We start from the raw sequence: 27,862 nt of genomic DNA, 5'->3' as shown, positions 1-27,862 counted from the left end.
TTTCATTATTTTGGAATGGTAGAATTATGAATTCATTTTTATTTTCTTCTTTTTTGCTTATCTATATTTTCTATAATGAATATCTATGCATATAATAGTAAAGTTCAAGTTATATTAAAAGTGAGGGGAGGCCAGGCATGTTGGCTTATACTTGTGATCCCAGCACCTTGGGAGGCTGAGGCAGGAGGATCATTTGAGAGCAGCCTGCGCAACTTAGAGAGCTCTCCATCTCAAAAAATAATAATAATAATAAATTAATAAAATAGAAAGGAAAGGACAGAGTCAGAGGAAGAAAAATATGGAGTTGGGAGGAGAGCACAATGTTTTTTGAGGCACATGATGATCCAGATAATCTGTTGAACTATACATTTCCCAGAGTTAATTGACTGATCTTTGCATTCAGTAGCCATTTGACTACTATGTTCAGTGTTTTAGGGATTCTAATTTTTTTTTTTTTTTGAGATGGAGTCTGGCTCTGTCGCCCAGGCTGAAGTACAGTGGCGCGATCTTGGCTCACTGCAACCTCTGCCTCCCGGGTTCAAGCAATTCCCCTGCCTCAGCCTCCCGAGTAGCTGGGATTACAGGCACCCGCCACCACACTGGGCTAATTTTTGTATTTTAGTAAAGACGGAGCTTCACCATGTTGGTCAGGATGGTCTCGAACTCCTGACCTCATGATCCGCCCGCCTCGGCTTCCCAAAGTGCTGGGATTACAGGCGTGAACCACTGCACCTGGCCTTTAGGGGTTCTAATTCTTGTATCTTTAGAATTGTATTTTTAAACCAAAGGTGCACATGGGAATCAGCAGGGAAACTTTTTCAAAATGTCCTTGCTAGTGTTTTAGAATTTTGCTCCTGGTTTAGCTAAAACCAGGTTCTTGTCACATGACCAAGAAAATTAGGCACGTGGACACATTGAAGGGTGAATAGAGCAGGATTTTATTGGGTGAAAAGGGAAAAATGAAAAAAAACCTCAGCAAAGCGAAAACAGGCTCCCCACTTCACAGATTGAATCCCAGGGCTCCTCCCCCTGCCTGTGACTCCACCCTGCTCCCCCAGGGCTCATGTGGGCATGCTCAGACAAGGCCCTGGGCAAGTTCCTTCGTCTGCACAAAAACATCTGATGTAAACACCTGTGGGGAGGGTTAGAGATTCTCCGGGGACCCCTTTTTATCTGCCTTGGCGTTTGGCTGTCTCATTAGGGCCTTACCCTCAGAAGTTCTGATTCAGAATGCCTCGGTAGGGTCTGAGTAGGAGTCTTTCAAAAACCTTGTCTAAGTGTTTGGATATTCATCGTGGTGGAAAATTCCATGGTGTTTAAGATGATCCACTGAGGTACTCAAGGAAAATATTAGAACTTCTAATTTTATTTTCTATTGCATCCTCTAAAAAAATCTCTACTTATTTGGATGTTAGTATTGTACTGATATTGATATGACATGTATAACCTGCAAATAAATACATTTACATATTTGAGGGTATGCTGAAATGTTTTTCTTATAAGGATGTACAATCAAAAAATTAGGAAACAACTAATGGCTTCAGAAGATTCATTATAAGTGGGATAACTCGTGTGCAACTGAATTGAAAACTCTTCTCTGGGCTGAGGTAACAATAACCTAAGAAATTTCACACAACGGATGATGACTCATTGTGACCTACTTCATTTCCTGCTTATAGCTGTATTATTTTTTATTGGTCTTGTGTCACAATTTGTGGGTACATTACCTTCTCCATGTCAGCCACAGCTGTCTCCTTTGTAAATATACATGCACATACATGCAGATACATGCAGATATGACAGAGCTCAGCACTTGGGAACCACTCAAAGCCTTAAAGGCTGATCATTATTTTGCAGTTTTTACATGCTATACTCTCATAGCTGCTTTGAAAAAAATGAACTAGATTATCTTAAAAAGCAAAACAATTCTTGCCAGGCACTTGGCTCACGCCTGTAATCCCAGCACCTTGGGAGGCTGAGGTGGGCGGATCACAAGGTCAAGAGTTTGAGACCAGCCTGACCAACATAATGAAACCCCGTCTCTACTAAAAATACAAAAATTAGCTGGGTGTGGTGGCACACACCTGTAATCCCAGCTACTCAGGAGGCTGAAGCAGGAGAATCGAAGCAGGAGAATCGCTTGAACCCGGCAGGGGGAAGTTGCAGTAAGCTGAGATTGCGCCATTGCACTCCAGCCTGGGTAACAGAGAGAAACTCCATCTCAAAAAAAAAAAAAAAAAAAAATGTGAAACAATTTGCGATAATTAATAGTTTGTAACTAAAACATTGATTAAACAATAAAACAACAGAAAAAATTAAAGAGTGATAAGTAAATCTCCCAACTTCCAGGTGCAGATGGAGAACAAAACACACACACAGACACACACATCTGGCCTTCAGGGTTGCTATTGAGAAGTCTGATGCCATTCTGATTTGTCATCCTTTAGGTAGGACTTGTTTGCTCCTCCTCTTTGGAAGCCTGTAGCATCTGTTCTTTGTCCTCACTGTTTTGAGCTATCACACTGGTGTGCCTTAGTGTGGGTCTATTCTCTTTGTGCTGGCATTTGGCATTTTTTATCTTTCTGATAAAAAGGGAAGAAATGATAGCAACAACATTTTTTTTCAACTCCCCATAGCAACAATATTTTGAAAGCTAGAAAGTAAGAAGTGTGGCCAACAATACAACAGACCTAGGAAAACTGAATCCTAAGTCAGCAGTGAGGAAATTTGAGAAACCAACCAGAATCCCACAAAGGCTCAGGAATTGGCAGCGCCAGGTTCCTGGAAGTGATGTGGGGCCTCCTAAAACTAGGAGTGGTTCAAAGTCTGTTTAGGAAGCAGTTTGACTCTCAGGTCCCTCCCCTCTCTGCACAACCAGGCCGGTAGCCTGTCCGCACCGCAGAGTCTATAACAGAAGGTCCACAGATAGGAGGACACTGGGCAGAGATGAGGGCTGGGTGCTGTGCTGGAAACCGAGAAATTAAGTGGACAGACACTGAGACCCACTGCTCTTTCCCCAGTGAGCTCCCATGATGTGGTGGCCAGAATTATATCCTTTGAGCATGAGCCCGGAAGAGTCTTCTAAGGGGAATTTGATCTCCCCAAGAGTGAAAATTTAAAGGCAGTGCTGTGTGGGTCCTTTAGCCAGATAACCCAGCCAGAACGTGTCGTGGAGCCTCTGGCCAACAAGGCCCTATTGGTTCAAAATATCTACTCAGCTTTTTAGCTCCATTCTTAAATATTAACAGATAATCAAGGTTTAACAGGCACTGAGGAAAACCTCTCACATGAAAAACAGAGACCAAGATGAATAGGAAAAAGCAACTTCAAGGAAAGAGAGACTGTACAGGTTGAAGAAAATGTCAAATATCCTCTGATTAATATCCTCAGAGGTAAGACATATAACCATCAAAAAGGAATATAACATTAGTAAAAGGAGCATTCAGGGAACACATAAGAGCTCTTGGAAATTAGAAATATGATAACAAAATTAAAAATTCAATAAGAGTTAGAAAATAAAGAAAAGCAAATCTCTCTGAAATTAGAGCAAAAGAGAAAACAGAAGGACAAACGAAAGGAAATACAAGAAAATCAGGAAAATATAGCTGGGCTTGGTGGCAGGCACCTGTAATCCCAGCTACTTGGGAGGCTGAGGCATGAGAGTTGCTTGAACCTGGGAGGCAGACGTTGCAGTGAGCCGAGATTGCACCACTGCACTCCAGCCTGGGCGACAGAGCGAGACTCTGTCTCAAAAAAAAAAAAAAAAAAAAAGAAAGGAAAATCAGGAAAACAGAACAGAAGGTTTAATATTGCAAATAGGATTTCCAAAAAGAGTGAACAGAGAAACCAGAGGAGTGAAAGTCATTAAAGAAATAATTTCCCACAACTAACAAGCATGCATTTTTGGAATGAAAGGGCCACCAAATGCCAGCACAAAGAGAATAGACTGACGCTAAGGCACACCAGTGTGATATCTCAAAACAGTGAGGACAAAGAACAGGTGCTACAGGCTTCCAAAGAGGAGGAGCAAACAAGTCCTACCTAAAGGATGACAAATCAGAATGGCATCAGACTTCTCAATAGCAACCCTGAAGGCCAGATTGGAATGGCTTTCAAAATTCTCAAGAAAAATTGTTTCCACTCTAGAATTCTATACTTGGCCCAAAGAATCCATCAAGTGTCAGAGTAGAGTAAAAATAAACATTTTCTGACATCCAACTTCTCGAGAATTTATATTCCATGTCCCTGCCTTAGGATGTCCCCAAACATATGTCAAAATAATAAACTAAGAAAGAGGACTCTGAAGTTTAAACAGGAACAAGGCAAGAGAATCTCTGGGATGCTGGTGAAGGGAGATTCCAAGATGAGAGCTATGTCTCAGGTGCGGGTTAGAGCATATTCTATAAGGCTATGGGAGAGTTTTTTTTAGGAGACTGGTGAAATTATTAGACTATCTGAAAATTCTGAATGCCTTGACAGCAGACATAGACCAATAGAAAATATAAATACTGTACACAGAAAATGAAGCAAACGAAAACCAAAACAGTTATTAGCTCCAGGAGCAACCCTGTCTCAAAGAAAAAAAAGGTGTTCAGAAAAGAGAAAGTGGTCATAGTTTACTATATGGCTTAGCTGTGACTATTGCTCTAACATACACATTGAACATTCACGTTACCAGCATTACAACATAATTCTGTTGGAAGGATGGGAGATGGGGAAGGATAAGTGTATCCCACTGGGACAGCAGGAGGAAAGACACCAAATCCTAATCTTCTACCCATTATCTATAGATAATGGCTATAGTTGAAAAATCAAGGAACAGTATTTCAAGCATGTTAATGTAGACACCTGAAAGTAAATACCAAAAGAATTATCTAAAAGGTTAAAGTGTAGAAAATGGGGAGGAGAGATTAAAGGACTGCTATTTTTTTTAATAACAAGACTTGTTTGACATTTTGGATTAAAGGCATGTATAACTCTGGGAGGAAAAGAGGAAAACAAAAATAGGATCTATTAAAATTGTATTTAGGAAAAAAAACAAGTAAATCTCTTTTCCTCTCTGGATTCCAACTCTCCTGGCCCAGATCACTAGAGACCCTCACTGTTCTTGGTGTGTCCTTCCAAAAATATCCTATGGGGGTCCACTTAGGATTGCTTCATAAACTGCAGGGCTGAATGGATCTTGTGAGCCACCATGGACTTTTGAAGTTGAGACATCTGGGCCACTAGCCTCATGTTTTCAGGCTCCCCATACATTAACAAAGGAAACGATGCAAAAATGAAATTATTAAACTGGCATGCTTTGCATGTTTTTACATTAACAAACACCTTATCAGATATTGAGAGATGTCAGGAGTCTAAATTTCAGGACATATGTGAATGGAGGCCCACGCCAGTGGCCCTCCTGCATCCCCTCACACCCCCTACTCTGCAGCACTGACCTTGTCTCTGGACACTTTTCTAATTTTGCAAGGTCTTCCCCAGCCCTGCCAGTTATTGTGCTGTGTCCTTCCCTGTTACAGACGGTATATTATCCTGCATTTGCCTTCTCTGAACTGCATTCAACTCCCAGCAACTCATCTGGCACCTCCTCAGTCTGCTGTCACCTGCCCTGAGAATCAATAAACTGTCCGTCCTAACAACCCTCATTAGTGAATTAAAATGCCCTCCTCCTCCTGTTTTCCATTTGGTGCCACATTCACATTGAATTCACATGCTGGCCATTCCATGCTGCAGGTCACAGAATGAGAATCTTCATCACCTGTGTTCTGTCCTCCCAGATTAATGATAACCCACCGGTACTCATTCTCTAGGAATGCAGCCACGTCGTAATTATGTTGGTTAGAATTTAAATTGTAGACCAGTGGTTTGCAAACCTGGCTGCATATTAGAGATGCCTAGGGAGATTTTTAAAATATGGATCCTGGATCTTACCACAATCCTATCATACTGTGCTAAAAACTTGGCCTGATAAATGAGCCCGGTCACCTTAGATACACAATTTTCTTTGTCTATTAAAGAGAAGAAAAGTAAAATATTGGGGTGACTTGCAGGGCCTTGCAACAAAAAGGAGAATCTGCCAGACTTTTAAGTTCTACTTTCCTTTCCTTGCATTCTAACAAAAAACAAAATTTGAGAACTTGGTCATGGGTTTTAGTTTCCTGTTTCTGCTGTAAAAAAAAAATTACTAGAAATTTAGTGGTTTAAAGCAATGCAAATTTATTATCTTGCAGTTCTGGAGGTCAGAAGCCTGATGTGGGTCTCATTAGGCTAAATCAAGGTGTCAGCAGCAATGTGTGTCTCTTTGATAGCTTTAGAGTAGAGCAATCTGTCTCTTGCCTTTTTTAACCTTTTTTTTTTCTTCTTCTTCTTTGAGACAGAGTCTTGTTCTGTCGCCCAGGTTGGAGTACAGTGGCACGATCTCGGCTCACTGCAACCTCTGCCTCCCAGGTTCAAGCAATTCTTCCTGACTCAGCCTCCTGGGTACCTGGGATTACAGGTGCCCACTACCATGCCTGGCTAATTTTTTATATATTTTTTAGTAGAGACGGGGTTTCACCATGTTGGCCAGGGTGGTCTTGAACTCCTGACCTCAGGTGATCCACCTGCCTCGGCCTCCCAAAGTGCTGGGATTACAGACATGAACCACTGGGCCAGGCCACCGTTCCCAACTTTTTTTTTTTATTTTTGAGATGGAGTCTTGCTCTGTTGCCCAGGCTGGAGTGCAGTGGCACGGTCTCGGCTCACTGCAACCTCCGCCTCCCAGGTTCAAGAGATTCTCCTGCCTCAGCCTCCTGAGTAGCTGGGATTACAGGCGCCTGCCACCACACCTGGCTAATATTTTATATTTTTAATAGAGATGGGGTTACAACATAACTCTGTTGGAAGGCTGGTCTCCTGACCTCGTGATCCATCCGCCTCGGCCTCCCAAAGCACTGGGATTACAGGCATGAGCCACCATGCCCAGCCAACCTTTTCCAACTTCTAAAGGCTGTCCACATCCCTTGGCTTGTGGCCCCATTTCCTGGCAATGTGGAGCTGAGTCCTTCTCATGCTGTTATCTCTCTTGATCTCTCTGTTGCCCCCCTGTTCAGCTTCTAAGGACCCTTGTGATTACTTCGGGCCCCCTCAGAGAAACCAGGATAATCTTCCCATCCGTCAGTCAGTTAAAACAGTAGATTAGCAACCATCTGTTTTTACTGTGTGACCTAACATATTCACAGTGTCAAGGAGTAGGATGTGGACGTCACTGGTGGGGGGAGGGGATGGGTATTATTCTGTTTATCACAAGACCATATTCAGTTTTCTTCTAATAAGTTTTAGGTATGATGCAAGTGGATATAAAATCATGTTGCTAGAATTCTCCATGAAGGTCATAGGCCCCTGGGGAGAATGACACACCCTGCCTTGTACCTGAAGGCCTGGTTCTGAAGCCAAGGGAGCTGCTGTAACCAGGGTCTGGTCTCACGTCGGTATGGAGAGTGGCTGCCACTTCTTGGCTTTAGAGAACCCCCACCTTATGTGGCCAGTGGCCCCCATCATCATGGGATCATTGTGCTCAGTGTAAGCTGGAACTGTTTTTCCATAGGTACTGGGGAAGGGAGGTCCTGGGATGGTGGCAGTGAGATCATCTCTGGGTTAACCTCATTTTGCTGTCAATGTCTATGGCTGCACAAAGGCTTCTAAGCCATAGGCTCCTGTTGGGGAGCCCCTGGTACCCTCCTGTGTTTCCCAGTGAATCAGAAGCTGAAGTGGTGGGCCCAGGAATCAGTATTTTATAAAACTCCCAGTTTAATTCTGTGTACAGTCAGATGTAAGAACCACTGGTTTAGACCACATTTTTAATTTTACTTTATCTATTTTTTTTTTATTTGAGACAGAGTCTTGCTGTGTCATCCAGGCTGGAGTGCAGTGGCACAATCTCGGCTCACGGCAACCTCCACCTCCTGGGTTCAAGCGATTCTCCTGCCTCAGCCTCTCGAGTAGCTGTGATTACAGGCACGCACCACCACGCCCGGCTAATTTTTTGTATTTTTAGTAGAGACGGGGTTTCACCATGCTGGCCAGGCTGGTCTTGAATTCCTGACCTCATGATCCACTCACCTCAGCCTCCCAAAGTGCTGGGATTACAGGCATGAGCCACCACACCTGGCCTAGACCACATTTTTTAATTTAATGAATATATTGTAAGGAATACAATTTAAACCTTGCTAAAATCAAGATGTACTAGTAGTATCTATTATTTTTAATTATTTTTTTTCAGAGACGGGATCTTGCTCTGACACCCAGACTGGAGTACAGTGCTGTGATCATAGCTCATTGCAGCCTCAAACTCCTGTGCTCAAGCAGTCTTCCCACCTCAGCTTCCTGAGTGGCTAAGACTACAGGCATGTACCACCATGCCCAGCTGTATTACTTTTTTTTTTTTTTGACATATCAGAGATATATGTCTCAGTCTCTGATAGAAGAAAATCAGATTAAAAGAACGCTCCATTTAAGAAAATCCAATTGAGTTGAAACCAGATTTACAAAAATAATAATTTCCTTTAAGCAGCAAATTCCTCTGGGTCACTCAAAGTATCAATTTACAAAAATTTGATTTATATATTGCTTTTCAGGAACATTTCTATTGCATTATATACAGTGCACCTGAATCTTAAAGGGTTTGGAATTTCGGTTTGCAGAATTTTTCTGGTCCGCAGAGTCTGTTGACCAAGTCTTCTTCCCCTTAGAGTCCCAGCTGCCAGCCTGGCACAGGTGTGCTCTTCATTTACTACAGCCTTGTTTCTATCACTAGGCCCACCAGGCCCCACCTTTAAGCTAAAAACCCCAAGCTCACCTCTGGGATGGGTCTTAAAGTCAGGGGAGTTTCAGCATTTCCTAGCTCAGCACGGAGAACAGGCATCAGTTAGTGCTGAGCTTGGTGCTCACTTCTGATAATTGGGTTCTTCGCTTTTTTCCCCAAGTCCTGACTTATGGCTTGAGCCTCTGCTTGCGGTCTCTGCTTTCCTTGAAGCTTTTGGACTGTTCCCTTCCATGGCAGGCTCTGAGGACGTTTAACAGGAAACCTTAACCATGTGCAGACCTTCAGTTTGTCCCTGAGAAGACAGACTCAGACCCACCAATCAGCAGTGCAGGAGTGGGCCTTGCTGTCTGTAGCTGGGGATCCTGTGGTAGGCCCAGGCTCTCTCACCCCCTTAGGAGTAGGTTCTCTCAGCATCCCACCACGTTGCTGGTGTGGCAGTGTGACCGAGCTTGCTTCATTTCTGCTCCATTTCCCTAGCTCTGTCGCAGGCTTGTGCTGGGCTTCAGCCTGCTTGTTTAAAGCCTTAATACCCTGCTTAATTTTTGCCTATTTCTTGTCCCTGAAAAATTAGACTCCATTCCCTATATCTCCACTGTTTATTGAGATCTTGTTTGAAACCAAAGAGACCTTCTAGATCCATCTTAATGGGAGCAGTTCTTCCACCCGCGAGCAGAGCCCCTGAGATCTCAACCCTGGCACAGAATGAGCCCCACTCCAGCACCCTCTACATGCGGTGGACTGCGCTTTTCTCCATCCCCTGTGGGACCTGCCTTGAGACAGGGTAGTCTTGTATCTGGCCCAGGGATGTTTGTTATGGAGTTGAATCCCAATTCTGCCACATCATAGATATGAGACCTTGGATAGTTTCACTTGTTTGATACTTAATAGCTTTGATGGGTTTCTTCCTATCTAAATGATACGACTTACTTCTTTTTTTTGAGACAGAATCTTGCTCTGTCACCCAGGCTGGAGTGCAGTGGCTCGATCTCAGCTCACTGCAACCTCCGCCTCCCCGGTTCAAGCGATTCTCCTGCCTCAGCCTCCCGAGTAGCTGGGACTACAGGCGCACACCACCATGCCTGGCTAAGTTTTGTATTTTTAGTAGAGATGGGGTTTCACCATATTGGCCAAGCTGGTCTCTAACTCCTGACCTCGTGATCCGCCCGCCTCAGCCTCCCAAAGTGCTGGAATTACAGGTGTGAACCACTGCACCCGACACGATTTACTTAAGGTAGCTATGGAATAATGTATGTAAAATGCTTTGTGTTTGGCATATGGTAGGGTGATATGACTATTTCTCTTTTCTTCCTTGATCCCCAAGGACTAGTGGTCTGAGTGGATAGGAGCTGCTATGTCTCATGGCCAAACAGGTCCGGAAATTCTTATTTGCATCACCTATCTCATCTGTACTTTCTCAGAGGTCAAGGGAAGCCTGAGACACTTGCAATTTTTTAGGCTCTTAGTATATTAAATAAACGTTAAGTGAATGAAAAGACAAGACATAGACCAAGAGAAAATATCTGCAAAATACATATCTGATAAAGGACTTGTGTCCGAAACATACAAAGAATTTTTAAAACTCAAAAATAGGAAAAGAGGCTGGGCGCAGTGGCTCACGCCTGTAATCTCAGCACTTTGGGAAGCCGAGGCGGGTGGATCACAAGGTCAGGAGTTTGAGACCAGCCTGGCCAACATGGTGAAACCTCATCTCTGCTAAAAATACAAAAATTAGCCAGGCGTGGTAGCAGCTGCCTGTAATCCCAGCTACTCGGGAAGCTGAGACAGGAGAATCGCTTGAACACCGAAGGCGGAGGTTGCAGTGAGCCAAGATCATGCCATGGTTGCAGTGAGCCGAGATTGCACTGTTGCACTCCAGCCTGGGGGACAAGAACAAGACATCGTCTCAGAAAAAAAAAGGCCATTAAAAAGTGGACAAAGGTCTGAACAGACATAACAGACATCTCCCGGAAGAAGATATAGATGACAAATATTCATATAAAAAGATGCTCCACATTATATAGCGTTAGAAAATTGGAAATTAAAACAACAATGGGTTACCACTACATACCTATTAGAATGGCCAAAATCCAGAACACTGACAACACCAAGTGTTGGCAAGGATATAGAGCAACAGGAACTCTCATTCACTGCTGGTGGGAGTGCAAAATGGCACAGCCACTTTGGAAGACAGTTTGATGGTTTCTTACAAAGATAAACATAGTCTTACCATGTGATCTACCAGTCATGCTCCTTGGTATTTACCTAATTGAACTGAAAATTTATGGCCACACAAAAACCTGTGCACAGATGTTTATAGCAGCTTTATTCACAATTGCCAAAAATTAGAAGCAACCAGATGTCTTTCAATGGGTGAGTGGATAAAAAAACTGTGGTATATCCAGACAATGTTATAATAATCAGTGATAAAAAGAAATGAACTATCTAGTCACAAAAAGAAATTTAAATGAGCATTTCTAAATGAAAGAAGCCAATCTGAGATGACTGTATACTCTATGATTCCAACTGTATGATATACTGGAAAAGGCAAAACTATAGAGACAGTAAAAAGATCAGTGGTTGCCAAGGGGAGTGAAGAGGGGGAAAAGTGAACAGGTGATGCACAGGGGATTTTTAGAGCAGCAAAACTACTCTGTATGACACCATGATGGTGAATACATGACCTTATACTTCTGTCAAAACCTATAGAACTGTACAACAGCAAGAGTGAACCCGAATGTAAACTATGGACTTTAGTTGGTAAAGTCCAATAACTGGTACCAATCATGTACCAATATTGGTTTTCATCAATTGTAACAATAAACCACACTAACACAAAATATGAATAATAGGGGAAACTGTGCTGGGAGCAGGGTGGAGGTGGAGGGAGAACATCGGAACTCTATGCTATCTGCTCAATTTTTCTTTTTTTTTCTTTTTTTCTTTTTTTTTGAGATGAAGTCTCGCACTGTTGCCCAGGCTGGAGTGCAGTGGTGCGATCTTGGCTCACTGCAACCATGGTGCAATCTCAGCTCACTGCAACCTCTGCCTCCTGGGTTCAAGCTATTCTCCTGCCTCAGCCTCCCTAGTAACTGGGATTACAGGCACACACAACCACACCCAGCTAATTTTTTGTATTTTTAGTAGAGACAGGGTTTCACCATGTTGGTCAGGCTGGTCTCAAATTCCTGACCTCAGGTGATCTATCCTCTGCGGCCTCCCAAAATGCTGGTATTACAGGCATGAGCCACTGCACCTGGCCTCAATTTTTCTGTAAATATGAAACTATTCTAAAAAAATTAAGTCTATTAACTTCAGAAAATAAAGAAATACTATAACAGGGCTAGTTTTAAATGTGATACATTTTAAATGTCTCTAAAACCTTGGGGCTTTTAAATCAAAGAAAAATATGCAATGTAATTGTGCTGCTCATAAAATAATTGTGGGATTATAAATACCTTAATTTATAATGCAGGACAGATGAATGGTTTAGTAATGGGAAGCATGTTCAAAGCTGTATGGTAAGAGTCACCTTCTTTCAGTCCTTTTAGTGCATCACTGTAAAATGTGAGGCCTCACCTGGAAATAACCAGCTCAGAGGTCCTTTAGGAATGTGAGGCCTCTGTTAAATGGAGCACTATGGTGCGCCTGCTGGGGGCTTAATTTTGTTTTTGTTTTGTTTTGTTTTGTTTTGTTTGTTTTGCTTTTTTGAGACCAAGTTTCACTCTTGTTGCCCAGGCTGGAGTGCAGTGGCATGATCTCAGCTCACTGCAACTTCTGCCTCCCGGGTTCACGCAGTTCTCCAGCCTCAGCCTCCCAAGTAGCTGGGATAACAGGCACTCACCACCACACCCGGCTAATTTTTGTATTTTTAGTAGAGATTGGGTTTCCCATCTTTTAGTAGAGGTGGGAGTTCGAGATGGGTTCTTGAACTCCTGATCTCAGGTGATCCACCCACCTTGGCCTCCCAAAGTGCTGAGATTACAGGCGTGAGCCACTGTGCCTGGCCATGGGGCTTAGTTCTTACAAGCCCACCTTTGACCCCACCAGTCCTGGTCTTGGACTCTGGTAGCGTGGCTGCCTACATGTAGACATTTCTGTAGCGTGAAGTGTCCATCTGCCTAGACTTCCAAGCCTCACCTGAGGCAACCACAATACTGAACAACTGCAATGACTGCAGCCACCCTTTTTAGCTATTGTGTTTTGCCTGCTAGGGTGGACTTCCTCCTGTATCTGGAGTACATTGAATTAGTAGTACCCAGCAGATATGGGACTGGGGATTTGAAAAGGAGAAACAGTTTCATCATGAACAACACGGCCTTCCTGCCAGGGTCACGTCTGTGTCTAGATACTGTTGCTGTACTTCCTGTATTCTCAGGGGTGGGCCTACTTCCAAGACAGATGCAATTCAGTACACTTACTGACGTCACTTTTCTTAAACTTTTTGCATTTTTTTCCTAATTATGATAGTGGTAAGAATTCCTTCCAGAAAATTTGAAAGTCACAGAAATGTAAAAAGAAGCACAGAAAAAAAAAATTATCCCAAATCCTGTATTACCCAGAGAGAACCACTAATGTCATTTTAGTTGTGTTATTTTTAGTTCCATATTTCATTCCTTAAACTCGCACAGTTTGGATTTTGCCTCCTCCGTTTTCCTAAAACTGCTCTCCCATAGGTTAAAAAATCTGTTGGCGAAAACTTCTCTGGAGTTCTCTGGATTCTATTTTGTCCTCCTTCTCAAGGACTTTATGCCTGCAATTATTCACCTTTTACTGCACTGTTAGTCTCTCTCTTTATGGAATGATTTCCCACAGTTTGCAAACATGCCTTAATATTGCTCATCCCTCTTGAAACCTCCTTAACCCCATATTTCCTCTGTGCTTTTCTTCATGGTAAAACATCTCAAAAGAGACATATGTATTTGTTCTCTCTACTTTCTCACCTCCAGTTCCCTTCAATGTACTCCAGTCGGGCTTGTCTTCATCGCTCTAATAAATGGCTCTTATTAAGGTGTCCTCCATTTTGCCAAATCTAATGGTCATTTCTCGGTCCTCATCTTACTTCACTTTGAGTAGCATTTGACATAGTTCACTCCACTCCTCTTCCAGAAATAATCTTGGCCTCTGTTGACACCATGCTCTCCTGGTTTCCCACCTATTTCATTCTTCCTTTGCGGTCTTCTTTGCTGGTCTTACTTTCTGTGTCTGACTTTTTTTTTTTTTTTTTTTTTTTAGACAGGGTCTCGCTTTGTTGCCCAGGCCAGAGTGCAGTGGCACAATCTCGGCTCACTGCAACCTCTGCCTCCTGGGTTCAAGCGATTCTCCTGCCCCAGCTTCCTGAGTAGTTAGGATTACAGGCGCACACCACCATGCCTGGCTAATTTTTGTATTTTTAGTAGAGATGGGGTTTCGCCATGTTGGCCAGGCTGGTCTTGAACTCCTTCAAGTGATCTGCCCACCTCGGCCTCCCAAAGTGCTGGGATTACAGGTGAAAGCCACCATACCCAGCCTCTATGTCTGACTTTTAAATGTTGGTTGCTTCCAGGTCTTCTCATTTCTACAATCTCTACTTGGTAATCTCATCAATCCCATTATTTAAACATCATCTACATGTTTTTTTTTTTTTTTTTTTAGAGACAAGATCTTGCTCTGTTGCTCAGGCTGGAGCGCAGTGGTACAATCATGGCTCACTGCAGGCTTGAATTTCTGGGCTCAAGCAATCCTCCCACCTCAGCCTCCCAAGTAGCTAGGACTACAGATGTGCACCACCATAGCTGCTAACTTTTTAACCTCTACCTGCAGGGGTCACGCAATTCTCCTGCCTCAGCCTCCTGAGTAGCTGGGATTATAGGCACCCACCACCACACCTGACTACTTTTTTTGTGTTTTTAGTAGAGACGGAGTTTCACCGTGTTGACCAGGCTGGTCTCAAACTCCTGACCTCAGGTTATCCACCCACCTCGGCCTCCCAAAGTGCTGGGATTACAGGTGTGAGCCACCATGCCCAGTCTAAAAAATGTTAAAGAATTCTGATCAAATGTTCTCTCTCATAGGTGATCACTAACCAAATAAATTAGAGAATTTCTTTTGAGGAATATGGATAGAGGTTGAGATTGAGATTGAGGGAGAAAGAGAAATACCCTATCAAGAGCAATAGAAGCAGAGGCAGAGTGGCTCTGTGACTAGAAGGACTCCTGTGATGGGCACGTGAACACGTAGGCTGGTCCCAATAACTGCACCTCAATGACCTTTCAGGCTCCATGAGTCCTGATTGCTGTGTGACAATGTATTCTAGCTTCCTGTGCAGCTTTACAATAACCTCAGTATCTGAGGTCACTTATCTCTGTTCCTCTTCTGGCAAAAGAACCTAATAAAATACATTCCTGAGCAGTTTCACAAGGTTGATTCAACAACTGTTTATCAGCATGTCCTACTGTCATTTACTCATTCACTTTCATAATTTGAGCACTCTGCTGTTAATTCATCAACTGCATCTCTATCCCGACCAGTTTCCTGAGGTACCAGTTCTAACTTCTGGGCCCCACTGGCCCTCCAAAAAAAAAAAACCAAAACACCGAAAAAAACTTCCCAAACAAATTTATGATTTCTTCCTTTCTTTTCTTCCCATGCCCTCCCTGGCACAAATCTGACCTTCCTCTTTGTTTGCTGTCTCAGCAAATGACATGACCTACTCCTAGTGACCTGGGCTAGGGGTCTTGGACTGATCTTTGCCACATGCATCTTTATCAGTCATCATCTGTGGGTGCATTGGTCTCCTTCTTTCTCCTTACAATGGCCTTCAAGGCTATATATGACCTGACCCTCCTCCACTCCTTCTCTTCCCACCACTCCCCACCCCCACATTGCTCACTCTGTTCCCAACCACACTGACCACCTTGCATTCCTTGAACAGGCCAGATACAATCCTGCCCCAGGGTCTTTGTATTTGCTACTCCCTTTGTCTTTTTTTTTTTTTTTTTTTTTTTTAGAGATGGAATTTCGCTCTTGTTGCCCAGGCTGCCGTGCAATGGCGTGATCTCAGCTCACTGCAACCTCTGCCTCCCAGGTTCAAGTGATTCTCCTGCCTCAGCCTTCTGAGTAGCTGGGATTACAGGCCCCTGCTAATTTTGTATTTTTAGTAGAGACGGGGTTTCTCCATGTTAGTCAGGCTGGTCTCGAACTCCTGACCTTGGGTGATCCTCCCATCTCGGCCTCCCAAAGTACTGGGATTACAGGTGTGAGCCACTGCGCCCAGACTGCTCCCTTTGTCTAGAATGTTTTTCTTGAACTCAATTTCTCACCTTCTTCACATCTTCACTCAAATATCCTTGCACCACTTTACCTCATCACCTCTTTAAACTCTAAGAACCGGACAACAGACTCTCCCAAACCCCTTCCACTGTTTTATTTTTCTCCATATGTGTCTAACATTGCTGCATTTGCTGCTACTTTTTATGTATTGTTTCCCCCTCTCCTTATCTTGCAATCCCACACTGTAGCATGTGTGCACCATGAGGGCAGGAATTTTTATCCCTATGGCTCACAATAGTGCCCAAACATAGTAAACATTCAATAAATAAGTGTTTAATTAATTAACTGCTCTACCTCCTTCCTGCTACCATTCTTGGAGTTTCACTGCAATGCTGTATGGTGGGTATATGTTTCTGATCCACATGGAAAAATTACAAGTCTGTCCATTTGGAACTGTCATCTGGAATGGCATGAGCTTTTCCTAATAAGCTCTGTGTCTGGGTGGCCACTGTGGACTTAGATTTGGCATAGTGTTCCCAGCTACAGCAAACCCTTCTTTGACCTTCCCTCAAAAGGCAGTATCCTGTGCCTTCTGGAAAACGGGAATACCATCTGGCTCCTTCAGGAATTCGGTGGAGGTTGAATTCTCCATGTCTCTGTGATCTTTTTCTTTTAGTTTTCTACTAGTACTGAAGCTTTTGTTCCTCCCTCTTTTCTAAGAAGTAAATATCAGCTTAGGATGATTTGTTTCTGCCTAAAAGCCATACTACACCCTGCTTTTTAAAAAAGCTTTTGTGTGTGTGTGTGTGTGTGCGTGCGTGTGTGTGTGTGTGTGTGTGACAGAGTTTCACTCTTGTCTCCCAGGCTAGAGTGCAATGGTGTGATCTCGGCTCACTGCAACCTCCGCCTCCTGGGTTGAAGCGATTCTCCTGCCTCAGCCTCCCGAGTAACTGGCATTACAGGCATGTGCCACCTTGCCCAGCTAATTTTGTATTTTCAGTAGAGACATGGTTTCTCCACGTTGCTCAGGCTGGTCTCGAACTCCTGATCTCCCATGATCCACCTGCCTCAGCCTCCCAAAGTGCTAGGATTACAGGCTTGAGCCACCACCCCCATCCTAAAAAAGCATTTTCTTATTATAAAAACAACACATGCATGTTTCATAAAAATATTTTAAATAACAGGGCAAAAAAATCACCCAAAGATAATCATTATTCATCTTTTATTATGTGTCTTTCTGTTAATATTTTCCATATAAATATATATTTCCTGCCTTTTAAAAATAAAAGCATTATAGAACAATATTTCAGTATGAATATAAAACTATTCATACACATAATTCTTAATAAATAAGTTTTTAATCTAATTTAGGCAATTTATTTTTTTCCTTTTTTTAATCATTTGCCAACATTTGGACACGTTTCCAATTTCTTGCACTAAACTAAAATTGAGATTAACTTCCTTGTGTATGTGGTTTTTCTGACTCTGGGATCATTGTCTTAGACTGGAGCTCCAGAGAGGAATTATTGGATCAAAGACTGAATGATTATAAAGCTCTTGATATCTATAACCTAACTTCTTTTCAGAGGTGTTTTCCTTAAGCTCCTTTGGATGCAAAGAATCACTCAGATTACCTCAGTCATTGGGAGGTTTGTAGGAATGACAATTGTAGAAATATTTAGGGCAGGAATCTAAGCCATGAAACCAGGCCTCATAGTAACTGCAAAGAACAAATAAGAACTCACTGAGCCACACAGGGTGCAACTGCAGGTCGTTCAGGATGCAGGGGAGCTCTGGGGACCAGCTACCTTGTCCCCCATCAGCAGTCACAGCTCAAGAAGCTCTGCTCCAGAAATCAGCCATTCACAGCTGGCCTTTTTCATCTTCTGCTCCCATTACCAACTCTTCAATTCCCATCCATATTTTTAGTTCATTTTCCCCACATAAGAAATCGGACTGGCTTAGCTAACAGTCATCATGCCTATTTAGGCGGAATTTTCCCTCTGGCTACCTCATTGGTCACTCGCACACATTATATTTGGCTGTCCTTGGTAAAGTACCTACCTCTGTCTTAGTCCTTTGTGGGGTTAAGGGGAGCAGAACATGTCCCCCACTTTGTTGAATTTATGGTAATCTGTTCATAATTATTCAAAATATTTAACCACTGATGGCACAGGCACTGGAGGACCAGTCCCAACCAATGTGCCATTATGGAGCAACCCTGCCAGATGCCTGGATGAGAGCCTAGCAAGCATGGTAATCAGTTTGCCCAATACCAGTTTACACGCCCATCAGAAAGGTAAGAGATCATAGCAGCACTGTTCACAATAGCCAAAAGGCAGAACAACCCAAATGTTCATCAACAGATTAATGGATATAAAAATTGTGGTATATACATACAGTAGAATATTATTCCCTTATAATAAGGAATGAAGTTCTGATCCATGCTGCAATTTAGATGAACCCCCTTGAACACATTATGCTAAGTGAAAGAAGCCAGACGCAAAAGACTGCATATTGTATGATTCCACTTATATAAAAGGCTAAGAATAGGTAAATCCAGAGACAGAAAGCAGATTGGTGGTTGCCAGAGGCTGGGGATAGGGGAGGTTGGGGAGTGTGTTAATTCATTCTCACATTGCTACGAAGAAATTCCTAGGCCAGGCTTGGTGGCTCAAGCCTGTAATCCCAGCACTTTGGGAGGCTGAGGCAGGCAGATCGCTTGAATACAGGAGTTTGAGACCAGCGTGGGCAACATGGCAAAACCCCATCTCTACAAAAAAAACTACAAAAATTAGCTGGGCATGGTGATGTGCACCTGTAGTCCCAGCTACTCTGGAGACTGAGGTGGGAGAATCGCCTGAGCCCAGTGGCAGAGGTTGCTGTGAGCCATGATTGCACCGCTGCACTCCAGCCTGGGCGACAGGGCAAGACATTGTTTCAATAAATAAATAAATAAATAAAAGAAATTCCTGAGACAAGGTAATTTATAAAGAAAAGAGTTTAATTGGCTCAGGGTTCTGTAAGCTGTACAGGAAGCATGGCAGCATCTGTTTCTGGGGAGGCCTCAGGGAGCTGTTATTCATGGTGGAAGGCAAAGGGGGAGCAGGCGTCTTACATGGCAGGAGTAAGAGCAAGAGAGAGTGTGGGGAGGTGCTACACACTTTTAACAACCAGAGCCTGCAAGAACTCACTCACTATGACGAGAACAGCACCAAGTGGATGGTGTTAAACCATTCCTGAGAAACAACCACCATGATTCAATCACCTCCCACCAGGCCCCACTTTCAGCACTGGAGATTATGATTGAATATGAGATTTGGGCGGGGACATAGATCCAAACCATATCAGAGAGCAGCAGCTTAATGAGTACTAGGTTTCCTTTCGGGGTGATGGAAATATTTGGAACTAGGTAGAGCTGGTGGGTGATGGTTGCTCATCATTGTGAATGTACTAAATGTCACTTAATTGTCTGCTTTCCAATGGTTAATTTTATATTATGCAAAATTCACCTCAATTAAAAGATATGAAAATGTAGAAGGGTGCTTTACACCTGCTCGTGACAAATGAACAGTGGCCTTCTTTTTAATTTTTTTTTTTTGCCTGTTTTACAGGCCAAATTAGTGTCTGTTTGTTCTAAGGTCCATTTATTTTATTATCAGTAATGTTTATTCACTTGCCCAACAAATGTTTTAATAAGGGTCTTCCAGGTATCACATGCAGTGCTAGGTGCAGTGAACAGCAGCCACTGCCCTGGTGGAGTGTAGGAGGCCATCCCTCCCCACTTCTCCCGCAGTGAATTGGAATGATCCCTGTGCAAAGCGCCATGAAGGAGCTGTACGGGTGCTTCACTAATGTGCAACGGGGGTTCTGGACTGCTTTGGAAAGCCTCCCTGACAAAGTGGGCTTTTAGGTGAGATCTGAGGTGTGAGGAGGAGTTGGTTAGGTCACAGGAGGTGGAGTGATGAGTGAAGACAAAGGATAGGGCAGTCGGGGAGGGTACACCAGTGTTTAAAAGCCCTGAAAGGAGAAGAAGCCGTAAAGAGGTTTAATCTTTGCCTTATAAGCACTGGGAGGTCAGTGAAGGGTCTTAAAGGTGTGTGCATTTGAGATATAATTAGATTCGTCTTTTAAAATGATCCCACTGTGTAGAAAATGCAATGAGGGAGATGTAGAGGGAGTCCAGGAAGGCCATTTAAAGGGTGTTGTGCTAGTCTTTTTTTTTTTTTTTTTTTTTTGAGTTGGAGTCTCACTCTATTACCCAGGCTGGAGTGCAATGGCACCATCTTGGCTCACTGCAACCTCCGCCTCTCAGGTTCAAGTGATTCTCCTGCCTCAGCCTCCTGAGTAGCTGGGATTACAGGCATGCACCACCATGCCCGGCTAATTTTTGTATTTTTAGTAGAGACGGGGTTTCACCATGTTGGCCAGGCTGATCTTGAACGCCTGACCTTGCGATCTGCCTGCCTCGGCCTCCCAAAGTGCTGGGATTACAGGTGTGAGCCACCATGCCTGGCCTGTCTTTTTTTTTTTAATTGACACAAATTTTTTAATTGACACAAATTTAATTCACATAAATATATATATTTATGTCACAATAGTATATATTTATGGTGTGAAACATGTTTTGAAATATGTATACTTTGTGAAATGGCTAAATCAGGCTAAATGGCATTGTGCATTGCCTCGCTTATCAGTTTTTTTTTTGTGGCAAGAACATTGAAAATCCATTCCCTTAGCAATTTTTCAAGAATACAATATTGTTTTTAACTATATTCACCATGTTGAACAATAAATCACTTGAACTTACTCCTCCTGTGTAACTGAAATTCTGTATAGTTTGGCTGATAACTCCTCAATGCCTCCCTCTCTCAGCCCCTGGTAACCACCATTCTACTCTCTGCTGCTATGAGTTTGACTTTTTTAGATTCCACATATAAATGAGATCATGTGGTATTTGTTTTCTGTGCCTGGCTTATTTCACTTAATATGATGTCTTCCAGGTTTATGTATGTTGTCACAAATGGCAGGATTTCATTCTTTTTATGGCTGAATGGTATCCATTGTGTGTGTGTGTGTGTGTGTGTGTGTTTTTCTTGATCCATTCATCTGATGATGGACACTTGTATTGTTTCCATATCTTTGCTACTGTGAATAGTGCTGCAATAAACAAGGAAATGCAGATATCTCTTCCACATGCTGATTTCATTTCCCTTGGATATATACCCCAGAAGTAGGATTGAGGATCACATGCTACTTTTATTTTTTAATTTCTTGAAAAACCTCCATACAATTTTCCATAATGTCTATATTAATTTACATTTCCACCATCAGTTCATAAGGATTCACTGTTCTCCACACCCTTGTCAATGCTTGTTGTAGCTTTGTCTTTTTGGTAATCGCCATCCTAATGGGTGTGAGATGATATCTCATTGTTGTTTCAATTTGCATTTCCCTGATGATCAGTCACATTGGGCATTTTTTCATATACCTGTTGGCTATTTATATGTCTTCTCTCTTTCTTTCTTTTTGAAACAGAGTCTTGCTCTGTTGCCCAGGCTGGAGTGCAGTGGCAATCCTACTTCACTGCAGCCTCGAACTCCTGCACTTAAGCTATATTCCTGCCTCAGCCTCCCAAAGTGTTGGGATTACAGGCATGAGAGTCTGTGTGTCTTCTTTCAAAAATGTTTATTCACGTTCTTTGCCCATTTTGTGCTAGTCTTAAAGGGAGAAAATGGTGGCTTAGACTAGGGTGAGAACAATGGAAAGATATTTAGAAGGCAAAATTGACAACACTTTGCAGTGTGTTGAATTTGTATGGAGCAGATGATGGAAGCTAATGATGATGTCTAAGCTTAATAATTTTATGTTTTTAGAATTTCTTATTCATGTCTGTAGCTCATTATCAATTAGACAGTTTTAATGTTTTCCTTTTATTTTCTGTAAATGGGGGTATTCAAGATAATAAATCCCAGTGTTTGTTTGCCTTTATTTCTTTTGAAGTGGGGATGTTTTAAATTTCTCACATAATTAAATATTTTCATTGGTATTATCCAGTTTTTCTTAAACTCTTAAATTCACTCAGATAATTTTCATAGTTTTTTTGATAGAGAGCTGATTATATGAATACTGCAGAAATGAATAGGTATGAATTTTAATTTGATGGCTAATGAGCAACTGAACAGCATTTCAAAAAGATGCCAAAAAGGTGTCTGGAAATACCCCCCTCCATGAGTGTGGCCAAAGTGAAGAACAATATATTAAAATTTAGCCAGGCACGATGGCTGACGCCTGTAATTCCAGCACTTTGGGAGGCCAAGGCAGGAGGATCACCTAAAGTCAGGAGTTTGAGACCAGCCTGGCCAACATGGTGGAACACCATCTCTACCAAAAAATACAAAAATTAGCCTCAGCCTCGGGAGGCTGAGGCAGGAGAATCGCTTGAACCTGGGAGGCAGAGGTTGCAGTGAGCCAAGATCTTGCCATTGGACTCCAGCCTGGGTGACAGAACAAGACTCTGTTTCAAAAGGGGGAAAAAAATATGTATATACATACTTTTTTTTTTTTTCATTTAACTTCTGAATAGTGAATATACATCTCTTGTATGGGGCTATAGAGTGAACAATCTCATTCCCACCTCAGTGCATTCCACTCAATGTCCCCTCCCTACAATCACTTGTATTCATTTCCAGAACTTATTTATGTAAAAATAAACAAAAGTTAATGTTTCTATTCTTCCTTCTTTAGTTTTAAAATGAAAGGTAGCATACTGTACACATTGTTCTAAGCTTTGTTTTTCTTCATTGGGCAATATATCTTGTAGCCCTTTCCATATCAGAATATAGACTGTGTCCTCATTTTTCAGAGCTGTACAGTATTCCATTATGCAGGATGTACCATGATCTGTTTAACCAGATCCCCACTGAGTTCAGCCTTTTTCTGTTACAGTTTTGCAGTGACTAACCTTGTACACATGCCATTTCATAACTGTACAAGAACAACTCTAAGATAAATTCCCCCGGTTGAAATTTTTCTGAGGCATTTGGGTAATTACAAATACTGATCCAGGTTGTATACCTGAACAATTATAATTTTGTGAGCCTTCATTAAGAAAAATAATACAAGAGTGAGAAATTTCATCATGCTGTGTAGGGACTAACAATGGACACCCAGAAGGACATTCAAACCCCAAAGCAGCAGCCAATGGCATATAACTGTAGAGAATGTCACACAGAAAATGACATGAAGTCCAGGGATCCAGTCAAATGTGGAGAATGTGGTTACAGAATAATATATAAGAAAAGGACTGAAATATTGGTGGGTTTTGATGCCCAGTGAAACCTGGGAATTCAGAGAACATTTTCGTTTGTACTTGGATTTGCCATTAATGTTTCTCATTGTGTAGCTTTCAATTTAACATTCTTATCTTTATGATTATAACAATATACACATGAATTCATTTTATTTTATTTTAAAAACCATATTATATTTAGGCCTCTATTAACACTTTGTATAAAAAAATTTTTCTTCTATTACATGATTTACAACTTAATATTACTGTATATATAACCTGACACACAATGAGGGTTAAAATTACTTCCCAAAACATACTTTTAATTCACCTAGAATCCTCATTAAAATGAGGGGAAGTGGGGAAGGGCATCCAGAGGGGAGGTCCTCTTTAAAAATGCAGCTTTCTAGGGCCCTCTGAAGTTCTGATTAAGTAAGTTCCTTGGAAACAAACAAACAAAAAGAATACAAATTATCAAATCTAAAGTAGGTACAAAACCAAATAACTAATGTAAACAATAAAATGAAATCACAATAAATTACTAATTTTAAAAAGCTAACAAATACCATAACTATCACAGAACCTTGAAAAATAACATAATATTTTTACTAATTAACTCTGACACACATTTATAAAGCTTTTTTCTCTATCTTTTTTTGCTGTACAGACTTGGATTACGTCCTTATGTGACCACAGTTTTGTAACATCATTTTAAAGACAGAAAGCAGAAAGTGAATTCAGTCTTCTCTTTAGCATGGTTGATTGAAATTCTTTTTTTTTATTATTGACAGCTGTGATGCATTAAGCATTCAGTTTCACACAGACATGCTTGCTATGTCTAGTGCTGCTATAGGTTTGTATCCTACAACCCGGAAATTCTGAGAAATTCTATTTCATGTGATTCCCATTTTTAAAAAAAGACTATGAATCTATGGTGTGTTTTTTAATTGCTGCATCATCAGGTACATTCCTGATAGATTAAAACACCCATTTTGACCCGGCACCTGTAATAATGAAACATTCTGCTCGTTATTTTACATGGCTAGTATTAAAATAATTTTCCACAGACTGGCTTCTGGCTCCACGTATTTCCAGCCTTGTTTCTTTTCTACTACCTACATAATTCTGGTATCAAGCGTTATAAGACATGTTTATGTTTCAATACGACCTCTGGTTCTACATCTTCTAGTTAGAGTGGCAGGTGGTTAGCACAGTGGGTGGTAGGAGTATTTCTGGAAACCATTCCTACACCAGGACACCTAGCAATAACCTGGCTATACATGTGGAGATTGCACAAGACATAAATTCATCCTAATAAACCCAAACCTTAATGAATCTCCAAGTCAATTTCCCTTTAGCTAGATCCCAAAAGTTCCTGATGCCACTCCATTGCCACACTTCACAAAGGAAAGTATGATGGAGGAGATGTCCAAGTAGAAAGAGAGCAGTGGTCTTAACCAATTGTAACTAAAATCCCTCAATTGGCAAAGATTCCAAAAACATATAATATATTGAAAAATCATTAGGGCTCCTCCCAGAGCCTCGAAAAGGGGTTGTGCAAGTGAGGGTCCCTGAAGCTTATGCTTTGTTAGTTTCAGGATAAATCATCCTTTGGCTGCGTGGATTTGTGATTTTGATAGATATTGCTGAATTGTCCTCCATAGAGGTTGTACCAATTTACCCTCCCACTCATAATGCAGTCTTCCCTTCCCGAGGTCTTGACTACAGAGTATGTATGAAATTCGTAGATTTTTGGCAATCTGATGCATGGGGCACAACAACTTAGTACAATTATATCCTGTGTTTCTCTAATTATGACTTTAGTTGAGCATCTGCTTTTAGGTTTAAGAGCCTTACATGCTTCCTTTTCTGTGAACTCTGAATTCATTTTCTCTGCCCTTTTTCTATTGTTTATCAGTCCTTTTCTTATTGATTGCTAGGAACTCTTCATATATTGGTAGATTGTTATTTTATCTTGATATGGGTGGCAAACCTTTTTTGTTTGTTGTTAATCTTTTAATTGTTCTTATTATGTGCATATGTTTTGTTGTTCTTTGCTTTTACTAAAGATTTTAATTATTCTATTAACTTTACTAACTTTATCATTTTAATTTGTAAGCTCTTGATTTTTAGAAATAGTAGAAAGCCCTTCCCCACTTTAAGATGATAAATAAATTCTTCCATATCTAGTATAAAAATTATTTGAATCTTTGGTCTATGTGGTATGGAAAGTTTTTAAAAGTTGATGTGAAGATGCTAGGGTCTTCAGAAGATGAAATTCTGGATACTAATCAAAGGAAGAGAACTGTTCCTAAAACTTACCTTAAAAAAGCTGTACTTCTAATTAAAGCTTAAATGTTAATATATTTTCTTCATTGAGCTAGTATTTATTGGATACCTGTTATGTGCTGAAAAATACAACACTGGGAATGAAAGAGTTCCAAATAAAGACTAGTCTATTATCAAAAATAGAAATGATAAATAAATGTAGCCAGAAATAAAAATTCTTCATGTTTCCCAGACATCTTAATATTTATAGCACGACAGATAGTTCTGTTCTTTTTTCACGGTTGGTGCCACATGCTTCCTGTGGAGGAACTCATCCTTCTGTGGAGACAAGCAACCTTTCTTTGTAGTGCAGGTACTTTTTTTTCCAAGTAAAGATCAAATGCTCCTCTCAGCTGGAAACACCTACTCTCCATGCAGTTTCAAAGGGTTTCTCATTCTTGCATTCCAGACATGTCCAAACTAAACCCTGGTCAGAAAAAGACCTAGCACTGATATCCAACACAACTTATCTTTCACTCTGGAATTAGATCAGAAAAATATGCTTAATGGGGAGCTGCAGGACAAAGGATACAAAATAGCAGATATGAAGGATGAACAAATCTAAAGATGGAATGTACAACATGAGAACTATATTTAATAATTTTTGCTAAAAAAGTAGATTTTAGGTACTCTTGCCACACACACAAAAAAAGTATAACTGAGATGATGGATAGGTTAATTTGCTAACTATACTAACCTTTTCACTCTCTATATGTATATCAAGACATTATGTAAACCTTAAATATATACAATAAAAACTTATATGCTTATTATTTATGTACAATTACAATTTAATAAGTATGTAACAATTTTACATTAATACTTATTCAAGATTCATCATTAACAAAGCTAGTCTTTATTCTTCTGTGGTGTTAAAGATGAATCCCAATCGGTCCTCTGGTTCTTCCTTTGGTACGCTCTTTGAGCAAATTTAGGGAACTACAACCAACTTATTGCTGAGGAAAAGTGCCATCTCTGAAGCATAATCAGAAACAATGAACTAAAGTAATATGAAAATTGAAAGGTGTCTTTGAGATTGCTTGGTGCAACCCTTTCATTTTAAAGATAAGGCAGCAGAGGCCCAGACAACTTTGAGCTTAATGACATGTTACCTATATTTATCTCAAGTTATCATGCCATGAATAAAAGAGCTACTCAGCCCTCTTTATTAATTTTATTTGATTACTTCATTAGTTAGTATGTTAGTTTTGCTTATTCTTAAAAAAAGTGTAAGTGTAAAAAAGTAGGGGAAAAATCACCCTAAATCTCTCTGCTTAGGTATATTCACTGTTAAAAGGCAGCAGGACCATCACAAAGCTTTGTTGTCAGTCAGTACCAGATAGAACCCCATGAGCTCCACCACTGATTGGCTGTGTGATCATGGTCTAGTTACTTAAACTTTCTGAGCTTCAGTTTCTTTATATGTAAAAGAGAGATGACAATATTCGTCTCATTGTGAAGATTAAAGTATATCACACAGGTAAAGCATTCAGGTCAGTGATTGGCACTGTTGTATTTAATTAATGTTAGCAATTATTAGTATTACAGTTGTGATAATACTCTATAAATTTTTGTATCACGCTTTTTTCACTTATTATATATATTTTCCCAGTTTACCAATGAATCTTTATTAATGTACATTTTTATGTCATGAACATCTTTTTTTTTATTTGATATGGAGCCTCGCTCTGTCGCCCAGGCTGGAGTGCAGTCATACAATCTCAGCTCACTGCAACCTCTGTCTCCTGGGCTCAAGCGATTCCTCTGCCTCAGCCTCCCGAGTAGCTGGGACTACAGACGCCTGCTATCACGCCCGGCTAATTTTTGTATTTTTTGGTAGAGATGGGGTTTCACCATGTTGACCAGGCTGGTCTCCAACTCCTGATCTCAGGTGACCTGCCCTCCTCAGCCTCCCAAAGTGCTGGTATTACAGGCATGAGCCACTGCGCCTGGCCCATGGACATCTTTATAGAGCAAAAAAAGATTATTTTCTACTCTAAACCCAAGGTTACATATACGCTTTCCCCAATAAGCTGAATCAGCAGCTCTCAACAAAGGAAAAAGGAAACAAGGGTTAATTCAGAAGAACTATTTTGAAATAAACAACTGGATTTACAAGGGTGGGCATGAACATGCTTTGATGCATGCATTTAAAGAGTAAAGGATATAGAATAATTGATGGCTATCCT

General features: G+C 41.2%; 1 long non-coding RNA gene and 1 pseudogene across 5 annotated transcripts in view, besides 1 other annotated feature; both read left to right on the top strand.

The window, feature by feature from the left end:
- The window catches only part of LOC105370198 (uncharacterized), a 114,265-nt gene that overhangs the window by 64,560 nt on the left and 21,843 nt on the right, over positions 1-27,862 (top strand). The window lies entirely within an intron of this gene.
- Positions 1,016-1,135: an enhancer, noted in NCBI's record as "active region_7723". NCBI's record gives its function as "activates an Ori minimal core promoter by ATAC-STARR-seq in GM12878 lymphoblastoid cells {active_cell/tissue: GM12878}" and the evidence as "EXISTENCE:reporter gene assay evidence [ECO:0000049][PMID:35858748]".
- Positions 23,197-23,794, top strand: POLR2KP2 (RNA polymerase II subunit K pseudogene 2; annotated as a pseudogene).

The sequence above is a fragment of the Homo sapiens genome, chromosome 13 (assembly GCF_000001405.40).
Source record: "Homo sapiens chromosome 13, GRCh38.p14 Primary Assembly".
Classification (NCBI taxonomy): Eukaryota; Metazoa; Chordata; class Mammalia; order Primates; family Hominidae; genus Homo; species Homo sapiens.
The sequence above is the reverse complement of the archived record's forward strand: the minus strand, read 5'-3'. Positions and strand labels throughout refer to the sequence as shown.